Source organism: Homo sapiens, chromosome 6, assembly GCF_000001405.40.
Source record: "Homo sapiens chromosome 6, GRCh38.p14 Primary Assembly".
NCBI lineage: Eukaryota > Metazoa > Chordata > Mammalia > Primates > Hominidae > Homo > Homo sapiens.
This window is the reverse complement of record NC_000006.12, coordinates 63,971,007-63,991,195: the sequence shown is the minus strand read 5'-3', so window position 1 is coordinate 63,991,195 and position 20,189 is coordinate 63,971,007. Positions and strand designations below refer to the sequence as shown.

General features: G+C 35.2%; 1 protein-coding gene and 1 long non-coding RNA gene across 6 annotated transcripts in view; one reads left to right on the top strand and one right to left on the bottom strand.

The window, feature by feature from the left end:
* EYS (eyes shut homolog) overlaps positions 1-20,189 on the top strand; it is a 1,987,247-nt gene that overhangs the window by 1,716,031 nt on the left and 251,027 nt on the right. For both annotated transcript variants that reach the window (NM_001142800.2, NM_001292009.2), the window contains exon 35: positions 6,593-6,813. In NM_001142800.2, coding sequence (NP_001136272.1) covers positions 6,593-6,813 — 221 coding nt within the window. The remainder of the gene's footprint in view (positions 1-6,592; positions 6,814-20,189) is intronic.
* The window catches only part of LOC107986608 (uncharacterized), a 94,049-nt gene that overhangs the window by 53,358 nt on the left and 20,502 nt on the right, over positions 1-20,189 (bottom strand). The window contains exon 3 of one of the 4 annotated variants that reach the window (XR_001744191.1): positions 5,447-5,542. The exons of the other annotated variants lie outside the window; for them this stretch is intronic. This is a non-coding gene — a long non-coding RNA (uncharacterized LOC107986608). Of the gene's footprint in view, positions 1-5,446; positions 5,543-20,189 lie in introns of those variants that run through there. 4 annotated transcript variants of the gene reach the window in all.

The following is a 20,189-nucleotide window of genomic DNA, read 5'->3' as shown; positions in this document are numbered from 1 at the left end:
GGATGTGTCTTCCCTGAACTTGTGCCTGCAGACTCCCAATTAAAGTGATTTTCCAGTTTCTTCTTTCAGGAGCTCATAATCTCTTGCTCCCTTTACTTTCTGTATATGATACTACAGGTTCTCTGGATCTGCCACAAGCTGCCCATCTCTCTTATTCTCAGAAGCCCTCAGACTTCTAGAGTATGCCAAGTCCCATTAACACTCTCAGTCAAACAAGATAGATATTAGTCTCTTGTAACATTCTGAAAAGCCAGAACATTGGGTGCATGATCCACTCTTTCACCCACTCCCTCCTGAGGGAGAGGCCATGAAGCTATACCAGCCTCTGTCTTCTGTATTCTGGGTCCTTTGAAGCAGAAGTAAGCCTCCCAAAACTCTTTTTTTCTCAGCAGTCCCCAGATATTGAGAGTAAGCCAGGTCCCATCAGCATTCTGAGACAGGTGAGACAGAAACTAGTGAGACAGAAGCCCCCAAAAAGCCATTAACACTGGACACATGCCCTCATTCTTTACCTCCCTAGTGAGAAACTGGAAGGTGAGAATTTTCTCTGATCCCATGCCAAGCCAGGACAAGAGACTGTGGTGAATGATTGCATATTAGTCCAAACCATCACCTTTGTTCTCAGTGATCCCCAATGTGGTACCCTTTCCTGGATCAGAAAAGACAAAATCCAATCACTCAAACAGCTCCCCAAAGAGTCTGCATGCTGGACATGTTTTAGTTTTCTATTTCTTTTCCCAAGGCAAAACTGGAAGCTGGGAGTTTTCTCTTCATCATGCCATGCTATGTTGGGGAGTGGACCTATAATGAATGAATGCCATAAATTTTCCTTACAGCTTTGATACAGCTGGCTTCACAATCACCTGACATGTGGGACCCTCTTAACTGTTTTCTAAATTCCTCTCAAAGGGAATTGGTCCATGTATTTTTGTTGCTTCTGTGTCTCCACAGGGGAAAGAGGGTCTGGGGCTTCCTATTCTGCCATCTTGCTGACCTATATGTTATTATTTTGCAACAAATTTTTTTATTATTTAATTCCCCAAATTATATTTAATTTCTTTATAGACAAGAGTAATCCCACATACTTCTTTTTTATTTACACTTCCCTAGATCAATGTGTTCACAAAGTAGCAACTCAGTTTATTGATTGCTTCTCTAAAGTTTAGTTGTCCCTTCAAAAAGGTGAGGAGATATTATTCTGAGAAAATTTCCTAGCCTAGAAAGCCTTAAGAATCAAATATTAACTGTGAATTATTGATCATAACATCAATAATCACTTCACTCATATTTATCAAATTTTTAAAGAAATAACCTTGTGTGAGCTACTGTCCTATGCAATATGCCATATATATATATAAAATATAGAAGGGTATATTAGAATAATAATATAACATTTATTCTGAGTGGGATCTTGTAAGGACATCCCATGTGCTGAATCTAGCAAAATATCGAGATTCTAAGGCAGCATAACACGGGGAAAGAGGCCTAAAAGACAACTAAGAGATTGAGGAAAAGCAGGATTGGATTTCATGTCATTTGTAAAAAAAAGTGTATAAAACTTTCTATTTTCAAGGCACTTCTATGGACTCCAAGAATCCAAAGATAATCAGGGTGAAGGCTCTGTCCTAAAAATAAAAATATATATTAACATAGAAGATATCATATGCTCACAGATTATTATACTTTAGGGAAAAGTAAGATAAAGAGAGGGAGAGAGAGATCCTTTAACTGCAAAAGAATGGGAATTTTGATAAATATTGCTGGTGTTATTTTTTATCCCTTTTCACTTATTTCCCTTAAACAATTTTTAAGAATTTAAGCTTTTTTAACATGTGAAAAGTTACTTCAATAAATCCTTCTGAAACACTTTATCCAACATTTCTTATCCACCTTTATTCCAAAACTTAATGTTTCTGATTTTAAATTTGTTTCCATACAATTCAGATAATGTTAAAAACCAAAAATGGTAATGACTCTTAAATAAAAGCCAGTTTGTTTCAATTGTAAGTCATCATAATCTTAAAGACAAGTGCGCTCTGATAATTCATCTTAACCGAAAAGTATATTTATAATCACCTCTCCATATTTTAGTAACACAAGTCATTTAACTTCAGACGCAGAATTGAGAATGCAAAATAAAAGTAAACATTAAATCAGGATGTCATTACAGAAAGATATGCAGTACTCCAACATCTAAATTTAAATTAAAACAAAACAAAAAATAAATAGGACAGCTTCTTATCTACCCTCTCCCCTGCCTGATGGATTTTAAATTTTACTTCCCCTTTGCCTATTTTCTTATTTTATTCATACGTATCATAAAAGAATAACTATATTCTTCCTTTAAAGAGAAACTCTAAAGGAAAAGGAGTGTTCGTTTCACTCCTGTCAGATATGGAGGCCTTTTCCCTCAGTTTTCACTGATACTTTTTATTATTTTCATGATTCCTCCTTGATTGTCCATGTCTGTTCTCTGTGCTTTCATCTTGTACCATCATATCTTGATGTCAGATTTTATTCTTCATAGTCTGATTCACAAGGAATTATTAGAAAAGACTTATGTTAAAGACCTGTCTCCTTAGGAATAATTATACACACAAAAGTCGTCTCTTGGATAATTGAAAGTCTGGGAATGGAAGTCGACCATTTTAATGGTAATCTGTGTGCAGCCAACAACATCTGCTTTTTTAGACATTTCAGGACTCCAACTAAGCATGAGCCTCACATCAGAAGAAATACAGGAGCCATCTATTTCCATTGTTTGGGTGTTTTTTAATGGTCTAATAAATCATTGATAGCTCTATAGACTTTCCTTCATACCTTCCTACTGCTGACAGAAAAGGAGGGTATTCTTCCATTCTCTACCAGTTTTGTGCTTAAAGAGCACACTTGTCAAAACAGTGAAAGGTTCACTTTTCCAGGTGTGTGATCAATATACAAAGATGTCAGAGATCCTCAGTGAGAGGAAGGTCATCCTTTGGATGCAGAGTCTTGTAACAGTGGATCACTTATCTTAGCTAATAGACAGATCTGCTAATAGTTTGTAGAATGTGAAAACAAACAGAAATACACCTATGCTATGTGACAGCTCTATTGATACACCTTGCAACTTTTAGCTTCCACCATAACATACACAAAGATAATCACCCTCTGGGACCTAAATAAGAAGAAATACTCAGGAAAAAAAATTAAAGACACCCTTAGGAGCAGAGACTCAGTCTTTTAAAAAGAACAATATCTCAAATACAGAGTTAGTTTGACCTGTTACGGGTCATGGAGATGCTTTGCTCTTCCTAGAATTAAACATGTTTCTGCTCTCTAAAAGTACATCCACATGAAAACAGCACGTATTAGTATAAATGTAAAGCAATATTGCTGGGCATCTCTCACACTGTCCTCCCACCAGACCCCTAACTTAATTATTTGGCTTTAGTTTTTTAATTCTGGCAATGACAGTATTCCATTTTATTGTATCTGTAATACCAATTTAAATACTTTTCAGATGTCAACTTGAGGTATGAATGTGTGTTTTGGGAATTGGGATATCAGAGATGTTACCCACACAAATGTTGCTGCATCTACCTGCCATATGCCTAACAGCCCTGAAGAGCAGTGTCTTATTTCCAGATTATTTAGACTTCAATTGTAGCTCATAAATTCTTACAGAGAAGGTCTGCATTTTATGTACATCTAAATTATGAGAATTCAATTATATATGTTGCTGAGGGTGGGAAAGTAGAAATCAAGTAGCAACTTAAATCATGTAAACTGATTTTAGCATCATTCTGGTCAATGCACATAAGCTCTGCAATGAACATCAGATGTGAGAAGTGAATTTATTGTACTCAGTATCAGTTCCCTCTTAGTTTGACAGTGGTACATCTCACCACACACTGGGGGGTTCTAGAGTTTTTATACAACATGACATGAAATGCCAGCTTCATCTACAGCTACACTGAAAAAACAGCAAGCTATTCCAAAGCTGGAGGAAATATGTAGCTGTGTTGGAATTATCTGGAGAAAGCATGTTAGTTTCCAATGTGGTGGCTAAAGGATTTCCAAAGACAATTTAGCTTCTATGAAATATTCATCTTATTTGCCGTCTTTAGAACTAAATCCCATGTAAGATGTGGCCCTGTTGTATTGATCAAATAAAGGTAGATCAACAGCCTAATTTTACAGAGTCTCTTTATTCTACTAATTTTCTATAAATGGTTTGGTTGCCTTTAAGATAGTCTGACTTCTTTTTTTTGTTTTTTAACTTTTATTTTAGGTTTGGGGGCACATGTGAAGGTTTGTTACATGGGTACACCATGTCATGATGTTTTGTTGTACAGATTATTTCATCACCTGGGAATTAAGCCCAGCACCCAATAGTTATTTTTTCTGCTCCCCTACCTCCTCCTACCCTTTACCCTCAAGTAGACCCCAGTGTCTGTTGTTTCCTTCTTTGTGTTCATAAGCTCCCATCATTTAGCTCCCACTGATAAGTGAGAATCATGCTGCATTTGGTTTTCCGATCCTTCATTAGTTTGCTGAGGATAATGGCCTCCAGCTCCATCCATGTGTCCACAAAAGCCATGATCTCATTCTTTTTTATGGCTGCATATTATTCCATCCATGGTGTATATGTACCACATTTTCTTTATCCAGTCTGTCACTGATGGGCATTTAGGTTGATTCCATATCTTTGCTATTATGAATAGTGCTGAAATGAACATTCAGGTGCGTGTGTCTTTATGGTAGAATGACTGATATTCCTTTGGGTATATATCCAGTAATGGGATTGCTGGGCCAAATGGTAGTTTTGCTTTTAGCTCTTTGAGGAATCACCATACTGCTTTCCACAATGGCTAAACTAATTTACATTCCCACCAACAGTGTATAAGTGTTCCTTTTTCTCTGCAACCTAGCCAGCGTCTGTTATTTTTTTACTTTTCAATAGTAACCCTTCTGACTGGTGTGAGATGGTATCTCATTGTGGTTTTGATTTGCATTTCTCTAATGATCAGTGATATTGAGCTTTTTTTCATATGCTTTTTGGCCGCATGTATATCTTCTTTTGAAAAGTGTCTGTTCATGTCCTTTGCCCACTTTCAAATGGGGTTGTTTTTCTCTTGTAAATTTGTATACATTCCTTATAGATGCTAGATATTAGACCTTTGTAAGATGCATAGTTTGCAAAAATTTTCTCCCATTATTTAGATTGTCTATTTACTCTGCTGACAATTTCTTTTGCTGTGCAGAAGTTCTCACGTTTAATTAGATCCCACTAGTCAATTTTGGCTTTTGTTGCAATTACTTTTGGTGTCTTTGTCATGAAATCTTTGCCTTTTCCTATGTCCAGAATGGTATTGCCTAGATTGTCTTCCAGGGTTTTTATAGTTTTGGGTTTTACATTTAAGTAATCCATCTTGTGCTGCTTTTTGTATATGGTGTAAGAAGGGGACCAGCTTCAATCTTCTGCATATGGCTAGCCAGTAATCCCAATAAGATGATGTGATTTCTTTGTGTCTTCTCAAAGCAAGAGTCTTTTCTTGATCTGATTTTGGAATAAAAGGTGAATTAAGGAAGTGAATATTACCCAAGCAAAATTCTACTTCTCATGCATATTTATGTTCAAATTTGGGAGAAAGGAAACGGTAACATTTTCAACATTCCAAGCACCATTTGCAAGCACCGTACATTTTGCTCATATTTTAGGATATTTATAATATATTATGATTACATTAGTTTGTCAGGGTTGCCATAGCAAAGTACCACAAACTGGGTGGCTTAAACCACAGAAATGTCTTACAGTTCTTACAGCTCTGGAAACTAGAAACTAAAGAACTGTAGGGTTCTTTCCATATGATGACTTGAGAAAGATAATGCCTCTTAACTCATTTTTGGTAAGGTGTTGGCAATATTTGATGTTCCTTAGCCCATAGATGCATCACCCTGATCTCCGCCTTTTTGTTCACATGGCAATATTCCTGTGTGCCAGTCGGTCTGTATCCAAGCTTCTTTATAAAAGTCCTAAAAAGACTATTGTCCTTATAAAAGTCCTTATAAATGTCCAAAACGTCCTATTGGATTATAGTTTTGCCTTATTCCAGTATTGACCTCATCTTAATAAATTACATCTGCAATGACCCTATTTTTAAATAAAGTCACATTCTGAGGTACTAGGGGTTAGAACTTCAATATATGAATTTGGAGGGAACACAATTCAACCCCTAACAACAATTAGTTAACATGGCTTTATTTTCTTTTTTAGTTATTATTTGGTAATGTTTACACTAAAATGCAAACACATCAGCTCAAAAAAAATTTCAAAGTAATCAATCAGCAAGTTTTTCTGAGTGTCTATTTTTCTGCTAAATATTATTAGATATTGTTAGAGCTAAAAAAGAGATGTAAAAAAGGACCATTTTCTAAAACAGTCTATCTCCCCACCTAGTAGAAGTGACAAAACTAGCCAACAATAGCAACCTCTTTTACACAGAAAAACACATTAAAACACATCCAATTACAGAACCAAACATCCTACATCTTTTCCACATAATCTGACAACAACCTATAATATTTTTTGTTGTTACTTTTTCTACAGGCATATTTTGAATCAATGTTCCTTGGCCATATTCCTGCAAATGTTCAAATTCATAAGAAAGCAGGTCCTGTTTATGGGTTCAGGGGCTGCATTCTAGACCTTCAAGTAAACAACAAAGAATTCTTCATCATCGATGAAGCACGACATGGAAAGAATATTGAGAACTGCCACGTCCCTTGGTGTGCTCATCATCTGTGCCGCAACAATGGCACCTGCATCAGGTCAGTATTAGTCTCCTGATTCCCAACCTACGTTACATGACTCCAAATTCTTAAAACAACAAAAGCCAGCAGTATTGTCCTCTGAGAGACGAAAATGACAAGTCCAGAATTCTCAAGTTTTTCTATGCATCACCTAAATGATGCACACATGTGGTAAATTCTTGTTTGTCCAAAGAAATGTATATATTGTAGCTCAAGAGACAAGAGAGTCTCAGACTCTGACAGTAACTAGGTAACTAGACCTGGTTTTGGCAATTTCAAATGAATCCACGTCTTTATCTAGGTGTTCCAGCTTCTTGTAAATATGAATGAGAGGCTATTATTCATTGGTGATGGTTTTGATATATTTATTAATTTTTTATATTTATTAATTTTTATATTTGTTTTTTACTCATCTGCCAAAAAAGAATCTGCTTAGATTGCTAAGGTTAGAGGTAAAAACAAAATTACCTATATCTGTTTTCTCTTTTTATTTGCAATCCTATATCCTTTTTTCTTCTTGAAGCAGATTTATCATGCTTATAAACTTAAGAAGATTTTAATTAAAATTACTTTCTGCTCCACTTAAATGTCTTAACTGAATCAACCCTGAGGGAGTCTCATTTGAACAGTGTAAAACATATTCCCAATTTTCTTCAGTCATCTGAGAATTCTTTATTTTGGAGCTACAAATAATGACAGAATGGAAGCTGAAACAGATACAACTTACAATAATTCAAGTCAAGGAAAAATTGACCAAATTGCACAGGAAATATTTTAATTAATTAACCTCAGTATTTTCATGGGGAAAGCTATCAAGCAGTCAATAATTACTCCATAAAAATAAACATCTCTATACACAGTGTAGAAAAGAGAGAAATTTTATCAAAAAAGCAGGATTTAAAAATGGTAGACAGAAACAAGCTCTGATAGTGATCACTAGAATAGAAAATAAAAAAAGAGAGAAAGAACCAATCACAAAGACAAGAAACAGAGGACTGGGCAGATATGATAAAGTCAATGTGATATATTTACCAATCACAGAATGACAGTAATAAATTTGAAAAAAATAAAAAAGGCATGGTTAGTGGAAAAGTCAGGCAGAGTTTCTTAGAGTGTCTAGAAATTTGGCTTCTGATTCACTGTGTAAGTATCTGACTTACATAGTGAATTTATACACATTTATACATTGGTACAATAACAGCAACATAGACCTATTCAACATAAGTACAATGGATACAGATTTAAAGAACTAAATGAGAGTAAATCTGGGGGCTAAGAGTGAACGTTATCTCCTTGACTATCATCACTTTCCTCAAGGCTTTACTCAATAAGTATTTTGCTTTATAATCACCCACTAATACCAATTGTTTTTCAAAATCTAATAATGCAAAAATAATTTAGCAAGGCAACTTTCAAACCCCATAGAAGAACGTGCAATTCTGTCAAATTAAGTGAAATAGAAACGGGAAAAAACCTTCTCTAACTGACTGTGTTAATGTCTGAAATATTTGTGTTATTCAACCTAAGTAAATATTTTCCATGAGGCTTTATTACTGATGAAATTACAGAAGTTACAAGAATTGTGTTTTCTCCCTCCCTATATGTGGTGAACATACCCTACTATGGCCCTGCAATCCCCCTCCTGTTATTGTTCATGCCTTTCTGTGATCCTCCCTCCCTGACTGTGGGTGAAACCTGTGACTTGCTTTTAACCAACAGACTATCTGATAAACTAAGGTGATGAGACATCACTTCCAGGATTAGACTACATAGAAGTGTAAGCTGTATATTACAAAGAGATTATCTCTTTTGCTGCCTTTGAGGAAGCAAACAGCAGTTTGGGGAAGACCCACATGAAAAGACACTGAGGCAGCCTCCAGCCAACAAGAAGCAGAGTTGAGGGTGTCCCCTGGCTGACAACCAGCAAATATTGAATCCCTCATTCTTACAACTGCAAAGAATTGAATTTTACCAACAACCACATGAGCTTGAAAATGGGCCCTTTCCCCAGTCAAGCCTTGAGATGAGACCCCCAACCTATCCCATACCTTTACTGCAATGTGAGATTCTTATGCAGAAAATCCAGTGAATCCATGCCCAAACTTGGCTCATGGAAACTGTGAGTTAACTGTTAGTATGTTCTTTTAAGGTGCTAAGTTGGTGTTAATATTGTTATTCAGGAATAGAAAACTAACACACTCTCATTTCCTGGAAAAGTGTCTAACATTACCAACTCAGAGAAATAGGTAAGGATAAGGTTTATTTTAGGACATTAACTTTCTGATATTTAGTAAGCCAAGTATGTGTTAAATAAAGTAAACCTCTTATCTGCATGAATTAAAGAACATCACATTAATTCCAATCTCAGTTATTTAATATGTATTTGAAAATAACAATAAAGATAATCTTCCTAACAGGATGTATATATAAGCAGTCCTAGATTTATTTATACTTTATATATTGATTCTCTTAGACTTATTCCAACAAACATTGTCTGAGAGCCAACTAAGAGCCAAGGTAATTGTAAATCAAAGATGTATATTCAAGACACACAAAGAGTTTTTATTCTAGCGTGGAAGCTCTATCAGCTCTTCAGGACTTAAGGTAAATTTTCCCACAAAAAAATGTATCAGTCAGTCTTCATCACGTACATTATCTCACCTTCCATCCTCATTTCTAAATCTCTCAACCTCTCAACCACAACTCCAGAGAAATCTACTGGAAGGTCAACTGATTTGGCATGCACTGTTTAAAGACTTCCAGATCTGTATGTCCCTTTATACTGCTAGCCACATGGAGATGTACCAGTTGTGTATCATTAAGTATAACACTTCTTCACATCTTATGAACAACATGCTTTCTATTTTGATTGCCGGTGCTCAGCTCCTGTAAACTACTACTTACACCGTTGCATACAGGACATGCTGCTCCATGGCAGCTATGACTTATATTCCTGCAATCCCTTTGTGTACTTCAACATGCAATACAGTGGAGTTGGCCAGTTCCAGAACAACAATTTTTTTTTAATTCTTGAAAGGATCCTAAGAAGAGATGCCTGTAGTATATCAGAAGTTTAATACAAGAAAACAGAGAGCTATAGGACCACGGAGGAGATTATCAGAATAAGAATGCTGTCTTTTGCTCTTCCCACCAATACCCAACCCTACAGCTAGCACTCCAGCAGTTTGTGCAGTAATCCAAAAAGGAGAACCAGAAAATGTACTGAAGGAGAACATAGACTCCCAATGAGACCATAAGCAGTTTCAGCTCATTAAGAAGAACATGGGTCAAAGAGGTAGGACACAGAGGGCCATCACCATAACCAACTCTCTCCCTCAACAGATGCATATTCACACTTGGCATACACGGAGCAGTGTAGAGTCTTCCAACAAAGAAATTTAGAGAAACCCTGTGCTACTGAGTGAGCCTCATTCTGATTCTGACAAAATGGATCTGAACTGACTTCATGATTTTGGTAACCCACTTCCTATCTATGTTGTTAGCCGAAGCCAAAGGTTCTCTTTCTTTCTGCTGCCATATCATAAAGTGGATTTCTCCAAAATCTTCTACTCTCTTCCAGTCCTTCTCATCCTTTGGCTCTGTTTTTTTCCCTCAGTCCATGCCATCTGACCTGATCTCACTCCTGAGCCCATCTAGGCAGAGTTCTAAACTTCCCCTCTCTTTCCTCCTATTTTCTCAAAAGAAGAAATTGGATGCAAGACAGCTTTCAAAATAGCAGATCAATTTCAATAAGATGTGTTAATATTCAGCCTTTCTGGATTCAGGGAGGATGGACAAGATGGCCTGATGAAATTCCTTATAGGCTTACAAGTTATATTACTTTATTTTCAAAGTAATAGACTGTTTATGTTCAGAATAAAAGAGTGATTATTACAGAGACAGGAAGAAAGCCCTTTTACCTCTCTGCTTGCTTCTCTCAAAATACACAGATACTGATGATTTAATACTGTAGCATGTATGCATAAAGTTTTACTTTGAAATGCAAATAACAATTTCTCATCACAGTTTAATTGTTCTAGGCCAGGACTCTAATTGAAAGGTTGGGGAATGCTTCCTAATGGAGTATATGAGAACCTTAAGAAAGAGAGATTTTTCAACACACACACACACACACTCTTGAGCATTCTAATCTGTACCTCCTGAAAATGCATGCCTATTTTCCCCAATAAGTGAAGAATAATAGTGTTATAGTATGAGATAACCCCTAAAGAAATTGGCTCTCTACACAAGAGTGGGGTAGTGAATGAACAGAGTTTCAGTGCCACAGAGTTAGACCTTAGGGTTCACAAAATGAAATACTGTTACAATGGATATTTGTAAGCAAAATCATCACTAATTTTTGTACCTTGGTTGATCTAATTTACTGCTGTAAAGTGCTGTTCCTACACTGTCTATGAATGTAATCTGCTTACAAGAAGACAAATTTCATGTTGAAAAGTATTAAGGAAAGTAACACTTCAGCAGCTTTACTGAGCAAATGTCATTCTGCTTTGAGTACCATCACACGTTTCTGGACAGTGTCCAATCTTTTTTCATTTTGTTATAAATCTGTACTAGAATTTTCAAACCCCTGTGGTTGTTCATTTCAGAGAAGTCCAAATTGCATGTAGTGAAATTCAGTTTAGAAAGTGATACAGAAGGCTTATTCTGAGTATCCAAATCTCTACGGACTTAAAACAAGCTGTTTCCAAAAGGGCATAGAAAGGTTAGTAAATTAAACAGATAATATTTACATCACTTTCCCCTTTCTGAGCCATATGTTTTTAAATAAGTTAAACAGTAATTAAAAGGAGCATCAGGTTTGGGAATATACCCTATACAACCATGACACTAGAAACTTACATCACTGACATTACAGTAAATAATTATTGAGACACTAATTTCAAATTTATTCTTAATTTTACCAGGAGCTAAGCACATATAAATGTATTTTATCATGCAGTGAAAGTCAATAATTTTCACATCTCAATGAATCTGCTTTCTATGCTTCTAGCTGTTCTCATAGCTTTTATTCATCATTAACCAGTGCTATCCTCCATGTTCCAAGGCAGAGGCTAGCAAACATTTTCTGTAATGGGCCAGATAGCAAATATCAGCCTTTGTATTGCAATAACTTAACTCTCCTATTGTAGCAGGAATGCAGCCACTGACAAAATGTAAACAAATGGATATGACTGTGTTGTGTTCCAATAAAACTTTATTTACCAAAATAGGTGGCTGGCAGGATTTGGCAAAAGGGCTATCATTTGCAGACCACTGCACTAGGGCAACAAATGGGTAAATTAGTGTTATTCAACTAATTGAGCTAGACTAAGAAAATCAACCCCAATTCATATTAATAATTTTTCCATATTAAGCAAGCTTCAAACAGGGTATGTATTTGTTTAGCATTCAGAAATTATCATTATTCTCAGTACCCCATGTGAACAGAGGTGAGTTTCTTTCCTTTATTCTTTACTTTCAATCCATCTTTCCCTATTATCTCATTTTATAGACTTTTTTTAACATTTGTAGAAAGAAGGCAGTTTTTTTGTGATTACTGAGGTTTTCAGTTTCCAACTCATTTAGCACTTCAAAATGAGGTAGGAGGCATAAATTGAATTTGAAATTGCAATAGTAAGAACTGTTACACAGCATAAAGACAGGATATCAGGTCTTAGCTTTTCCATTTGTTCTGTAGTAAGTTGCAATCCCTCACACAATTTTTGCTTGTCTTCATTGTCATTTCACAATGTCATGTCGCTAGGAATCACCTGCTGAGATCTTTTAGTTTTTACTCTGTATCTAACCCAGATTACCCCAAATCTAGCTCAGCAGTCTACCCTATTCTTCTAAATACCACAGGAAAAAAGAGCCTATTTCAGATCAATTTCTTACCACACATTTAGACTAATGACATTTTCAAATATTTAACCCTTCTTCTTAACTGCTACACTTTCTGTCTGTAGTCTACATCCTTGAAATTGTACATAGGATTTAAGTGTCCCTTGCACTAGAAGACTATTTTATATTTAGTTAGATTATTCTCAATATAAAAGTTTACCAGTGAACCTCCAAACATCTCCCACTGTGGGCAGCCCTTGTTGCTAGAGAAACAGGTGGCGGGGAAAGCTAACCAGGTTTTCGGTAAGAACTTAGAAGCATAAATGATTTCATAGTTTTTCCTATCTTTCTTATTATGTTAATTAATTGAGTATTTAAGGTATTTTCTACATAATTCATTCACTAAAATCAGTCTCTAGGGTGTGAGTATCAAAAGAATGTTTTCTTCTGTCATTGATGGTGTACATACTCTGTTGGTCTCCACTTTATTTTCCCTTACTGGAATATCCTGCAGGTTCCAGAGCCTTCTATGTATGTTCACATATTAAATCATCTGGTTCAGACTACACCAATTAAAAACTTCTGTCTCATATCCAATTTAGTGGTCATCAGCCCTATGCCAGGTTGGACAAACCTCAAGTTCAAGAATTTAGAGTGGGGAAGGAATGTAATGCATTCTTGATTTCTTTCTATCCCTCTTCTTTTTCTAGTTTCTCCAGGTTTGGGTCTGGCTTGGGACAGGAGGGATTTGACTGAAAAATATCGAAAGGTTTTCTTATGAGCTGGTGCCATTATGGTTCTGTATTGATTTTGTACTCCCTGACACACAAACTCGGTCCTGGATCTCTTGTCAGATACATGCAGGAGTCCTCACAAAGCCTTGCTCCAAGGGCCACTCCATGGTTGCCTGAGGGGGAAAATATTCTCTGGTTTGTTTCTTTCCACCCAGTCCTTCACAGCTCCTTACCTGCTGACATCCCCTCACCCAATAGCAGAGCTGGCTTACCTCGAAGCTAATGAAGCTTAAGAGGCCCTCAACCTTGTACATGTCTTTCTGGGATTGGGAGTTGCTAGGAATTGCAATAATTTCTCACAATTTCCTTTGGGAAGGGAAAACAAGTTGCGATCAGGAAGCATCTCCATGTAAGCTCTAGTGTTTGATAGCACAATGGGTAAATATATTAGTTATTGATAAATTATTAGTTATCAATAATTTATTGCATGTTTCAAAACAGCTAAAAGATAAGATTTGGAATGTTCTTGACACAAAGAAATTATAAACGTTTGAAGTGATGGCTATTCCAATTATGCTAATTTGATAATCACACATTGTATGCCTGTATCAAAATATCACATGTACCCCATAAATATGTAAAATTTTTATTATACATAATTTGTATTATATATAGATTACTGCATATGTACAGTAATATATAATAATATTTAGCCCTTTACACAATTATTGTGTATCCATTTTTAAAACTATAGTACAATAGGAGGCTAACTTGAGTAATAATAAAACTCTGGTCTCCTGAAAAAAAACAAAAACTGTAGTACAATTAAAAAGAGAGTTCAGAGAAAGAGACCTGAATCTCCAAATATTAATGTAATTTGCTGTTATTTATTTTCCTATTCTAAATAAATAATCACTTTTATGTATAATTTTTCATTTGAATCTGTAAAATTTTTTTGGTTATAAAAGATCACAAAATTATATGAGCTTCAGGCCCCACAAAATCTAAACTCCCCTCTACAATTCTCTAAGACAGGATTCTGGCAAGATAATTCAAACCCAGTGTCAAAGTTTAATTTTCAAAAAGTTATAAACATGATTTTTATACAATTGTATAAACCACATACCAAAGATTCATTTAGCTCCTATACAAAGCAACCAGCATGAAGGTAAAGTTGGTTCAAAAAGAATTCAAGAGACTGAGCTTTTATAGACACTGAAAGGATGCTAAAATAAAATTGCAAGGTTTAGAGACAAAACTAGTTAATGTTCCATAGGGCAATAAAATGTAATTTTGTGATGTTTTCTACCAGTCTGTATTCATTTGCGCCTCCATCAAACCACAGCCTACAAGTGAGCATGTAACTTCACAGAGTCCTGGTCTAATTAACAGTATTAATAGTGCTAATGCACTTCATAACAATGTTTCAGTCAACAACAGACAAAACAGATGATGGTGGTCTCACAGGATTGTAATGGAGTTGAAAAGTTCCTGTTTTCTGGTGATGTTGTGGCTATTGTAACATCATAGCACAATTACTTTTGTTTTTGTAAATTTAGTATAGACTAAGTGCATGGTATTTATAAAGTCTACGGTAATATACGGTAGTATTTTAGCCCTTTACATTTGGTCACCACTCACTCACTGATTCACCCAGGGCAACCTGCAGTCCTGTAAGCTCCTTTCATAAGTACCCTATATAGGTGTACCATTTTTCTTGTCTTTTATACTGTATTTTTATACATCTTTTATATGTTTAGATACACAAATACCACTGTGTTACAATTGCCTACAGTATTCAGAACATGCTTTGGTACTACATGCTGTACAGATCTGTATTATAGCTCAGGAGCAATAGACCATACTGTATCGCCTAGGTGGATAGTAAGCTATGCCATCTGGGTTTGTATAAGTACATTCTATGATGCTTGCACAATGATGAAATTGCCTAATGAGGCATTTCTCAGAAGTGTTACTGAGTGACATATAACTGTAAATAGTAAGCCAAATAAAAGTTCACCTTCTAGAGAATTACATAATCCTTAAGCAAGCCCATTAGACAATGCTCTGGTATGATATTAAAAGAACACACAACTCTCCTTTTGTATTATTACTAAGTTTTGAATCTTTTCTGAACACCAGACACTTTTTGCATTACCAGAAGATAGGAGTTCCAGCTGCTTCACTGTAACCCTCTGCTGTCCTTAATGTTTAACAAGAAAAGGTTGTGATAAGCAAAAAAGTACTTATGCAAATATACACATGCTATTAGAAAAGAAGAAAAGGAGAAACAGGCCTGTTTTAGGTCACTGTTACTTAAACAAAAAGTAACGCATCACAACAAAACATTCTGGTAATTGTTTTCTGTTTTTCTTTTTTTCTAGAACATCCATGTTTAGAAATTATTTTGATCTAAATCTGTCTGATTAAAATAGGATATGTGTCCTTCATACCATCAATCTGTCCCTTCTTTTATACTATGAGTGCTGTAGAGCCTCTTTTGTGTTAAGCAGTGTAATGATCGTGGGATTCATAAAGACAAATAAGACATGGAAACCTTTTCCACATATTATTTTGTGTATGATAATCTCAAGTTTGTAAAACATTAAGGCATGCAGAACAAATTGTGTTTTTCCATTTATACACATAAACTGCAAGCTTAGGTTAAAACAGCCTAGGTTTCACAATTTCTATTGTTTATCTTTTTTTTTTTTGTCTCATTTCTTTCCCCCATTCTACAAGTGCCAGGTCTTCTGAAAATGGAGTGATGTGAGGTCATTTATTCTTTCTTTGAGAGTGTGACTGAAGCTGTAGGGTTTTTAGTTGCTTATAAAAGTGGATCACATATTTGAAGAGCGTAACTCTTACCAATGTTTAAGTGTCACCAGCTCTATGGTAAAGTACAAATGCAGTTTAAATTGATTTTCTAACCACTTTTATTACTGCCATCCTTGAGTGTAGCAACAAGTGCTGGGCATTTGTTTTCACAGGGCAGAAAGCATTTATTGATAGATCTTCGGCAAATAAGTGTTGTATTAAAGTCATGATTACAAATACAATTGTATTTTAATAAGAACAAATAAGATTAAATGTGAAGAAATTGTGTTCCTTACACCGAATTTGAAAAGCCTCAAAGAGTTAAAATTTCAAGGTTTGACCAATGGAAAAGACCACTATCAAATTCCACTCATATTTTTTATATCATATTTATGCAGCAAGGTCAAACAAGTAGGGGGAAGAAAATCTCATCTTCAATTTTCTCTACCCTTAGGTAATAATACATGGAGAACTCATTTACCCTGATTGATCTTCCTGGGCATAAGAGACTTCTCTGGCTTAAATCCCATCTGAAAACTATCTTTTCTCTCCTTTCTTAACAGAATGCTAATAGTATCTCTCCCTCACTCTTTTCTTCAAAGAACAAGCACTCTAAATATGACCTGGTAATATGTTTTTTTGACTGTTTTGCTTTCCTTCAAAAACTATTTATTAATGGTTTTTTTTAGTAGGAAAAGATGTGTTAAAGCCTGTTTATTTTGTAAATAGAAGCATTTATTTTTGACCACTTATAGATTGAATTCATGCACCAAAAAAATGCGTAAAAATGGTAAATTGTGTTAACCACTATGATTTTTACATATAATTAAACATGCCACTGTTAAAATTGTGTGAAAAGCTTGACAAACAAAATGAAAACAGAGCAAAGTTAAATGTGGAACAAAATGTGAGATATTCAGAATCCTTTGGCTTTGGGTTTACAATATTCTTAAAAAACAAGTTTAAGTGATTAATTTAGAAAGAAAACAAACCAATCCTTTTGGTTGAGTAGTAAACAAAGTTCACAAGCCTTACATTTTTTTCCTGGCCCATTTGCTGGTAGATATTGTACCTTAAGAAAACTGCTTAACCTTTTATTCTAGAAAAATAAAGTAAAAATTGTTCCCACCTGCCTACCTAAACCTTGAGTGATTTGAAGCCAAAACTTAACACTTGGTAAAGACTTGAGAGTATATAAACTACATGAGAAAACACTGGACAATAAATCTGGGTATTGGTTACTGACAGTAAAATGCAGTCATGGCTTTAAGCAAGTACCGTCCAGATACTACCACCACTAACTGCCATTGACCTAATAATTACCAAGTGTTGTCTGTGCTGGGATATGCATAGTTGCATTGTTCTCATACGAATTTATCTTAAAATGATGTTACTACTTAAAATATCTTTATAATATAGTTTTAAATTTTTGTTTCAAAAATGATAAAATGGAGTATAAATGAATTAAGATATTGGTTCAAATCGGCACTAATAATAAAGACAGGATAAATTCTAATTTTTTAGACTTTAATTCAATGCTCTCTCTCCTAGGATCTGAAATGTAAATCAAGCATTTGTTTCATCACAAATAATAAAGTTTAGTTCTCTTCTTGTAAATTTGTTTAAGTTCCTTGTAGATTCTGGGCAAAAAGAAGACATTTATGTGACCAACAAACATATGAAAAAAAGCTCATCATAACAGGTCATTGGAGAAATGCAACTCAAAACCACAATGAGATACCATCTCATGCCAGTTAGAATGCTGATCATTAAAAAGTCAGGAAACAACAGATACTGGAGAGGATGTGGAGAAATAGGAATGCTTTTACACTGTTGGTGGAAGTGTAAATTACTTCAACCATTATGGAAGACAGTGTGGCGATTCCTCAAGAATCTAGAATGAGAAATACCATTTGACCCAGCAATCCTATTACTGGGTATATACCCAAAGGATTATAAATAGTAGCATGATTATAAATCATGCTACTATAAAGACACATGCACATGTATGTTTATTGCAGCACTATTCACAATAGGAAAGACTTGGAACCAACCCAAATGCCCATCAATGATAGACTGGATAAAGAAAATGTGGCACATATACACCATGGAATACTGTGTACCCATAAAAAAGGATGAGTTCATGTCCTTTGCAGGGACATGGATGAAGCTGGAAACCATCATTCTCTAAACTAACACAGAACAGAAAACCAAAGACCACATGTTCTCACTCGTAAGTGGGAGTTAAATAATGAGAACACATGAACACAGGGAGAGGAACAGCACACACCGGGGCCTGTCAGGGGGTTGGGGGCTAAGGGAGGGATAGCATTAAGAGAAATACATGACGTAGATGATGGGTTGATGGGTGCAGCAAACCACCATGGCACATGTATACCTATGTAACAAACCTGCACGTTCTGCACATGTATCCAGGAACTTAAAGTATAATAATAAAAAAAAAGATTAGTTCTCTAAACTGAATGATTTAGTAACTATTTTTAGCAGTGGGACTTACACATAAGGACTAGGCTACATATAAAAATTATAGCTTCATCATTTTAGATTACTCTAACAGTCAAGAGGTATGTGTTTTGCCCTTCCTCTTAAGTATGCCACTAACCATTTCTGAACCTCACTTTCATCATTTGTGTAGAGGGGGAATTAAACTAGACTGGAATTTTCAAAGCTATTTTTCAAGTATAGTAATAAGCATTCCTTGGGGAAAAAGAGGCAGGTAAGGAGAAATTTCTCTAAGACAAATTCATAAAATGTCACATGTTCCTTTCTCCCTCTTGGAGTTTCAAAAGCAATCCTCTAAAAAAAGAACCCATTCAACTCTGCTTAGAAGTAACTAAACTAATTTCATTGAGAAAAATAAAGTATTTTTCCAGGAATACCTATTAACTATTAACATCACATAAAACATTCTCTTTCTCAGAAATAGAGTGAAGAAATTCTATAACAAATGATATAAACAAGGCCCAACAAGTGAAATTTGTTTCTACTTTTAGAAGACTTCTATAGTGGAAGACTGTACAGCAACAATTGGGAAAGTCTTTGAGTTTAGTATGTTTCAATACCAAGAATCCTTTCTTCATATCTCACCTAACTTACCATGTGCTTTAAGATATGTGATTTTGTCTTTTCAGTCTGAGATTAATAGAACTTATGACAAATACAATTGAAATGCAACAAAATTGGCAGAAAATCATGCCTAAAATACTTGAGTTCAGTCTTGAGGTAGGACATCATCTGGCTGTTAGACCTATGTGGTGGGATTGTGCCTGAATAGCCACCTGACTAATTTGTTTCCCCTTTTCTCTCTCACAAATTCTCTGGGCTTTTTTATTTCCTTCTCTAGTCTACCCATCCACTTAGAAACACAAATTAAAGCCTCAAAAATGTTCTAGACCTAAATGTGAGCCACAAATATTTATATGCATGATTGTAGAATGACATTTTCTTCTCCCATGGAGAAAACTGAAGATCACCAAGACCTGTCTAATCCTAAATATTTAAGAATCTTAGACTACTTCCAGTGCTATTTTCTATAATCTAGAAGTATATAATCTAATTGAAGTATTAAGAGGATGCATGCTGAATTAAATATATTGAGGATTATTTTCCTGTTTTATACTCTATCATTGTATGTATTAAACATCTATTACCATGCATATAGAAGGCTACTGGAAAATCTTTTAACATGTTAGTCAGATGAAATAAAAACCCAGATAATGCTAGGATGGAGCAAATCACACTGACAGGTAAATCATCCTTAAGTTGAAATAGACAGAAGAGATTACTTAGATGTCCTCACACTGCAGTTCTCCATTGCTGGGCTTGACTATCTATTGCCTGTTCTACTTTACAACTTTGTAAGGTTGGAGGTTAACTGTAGATTTTTGTCCAGTAGAAATGAGAATAACTTGTTTTGAACAAAAAGTACCCTAAATGTTACAATTTATGGTCCTGTTGGACATTAACCATTTTTATATC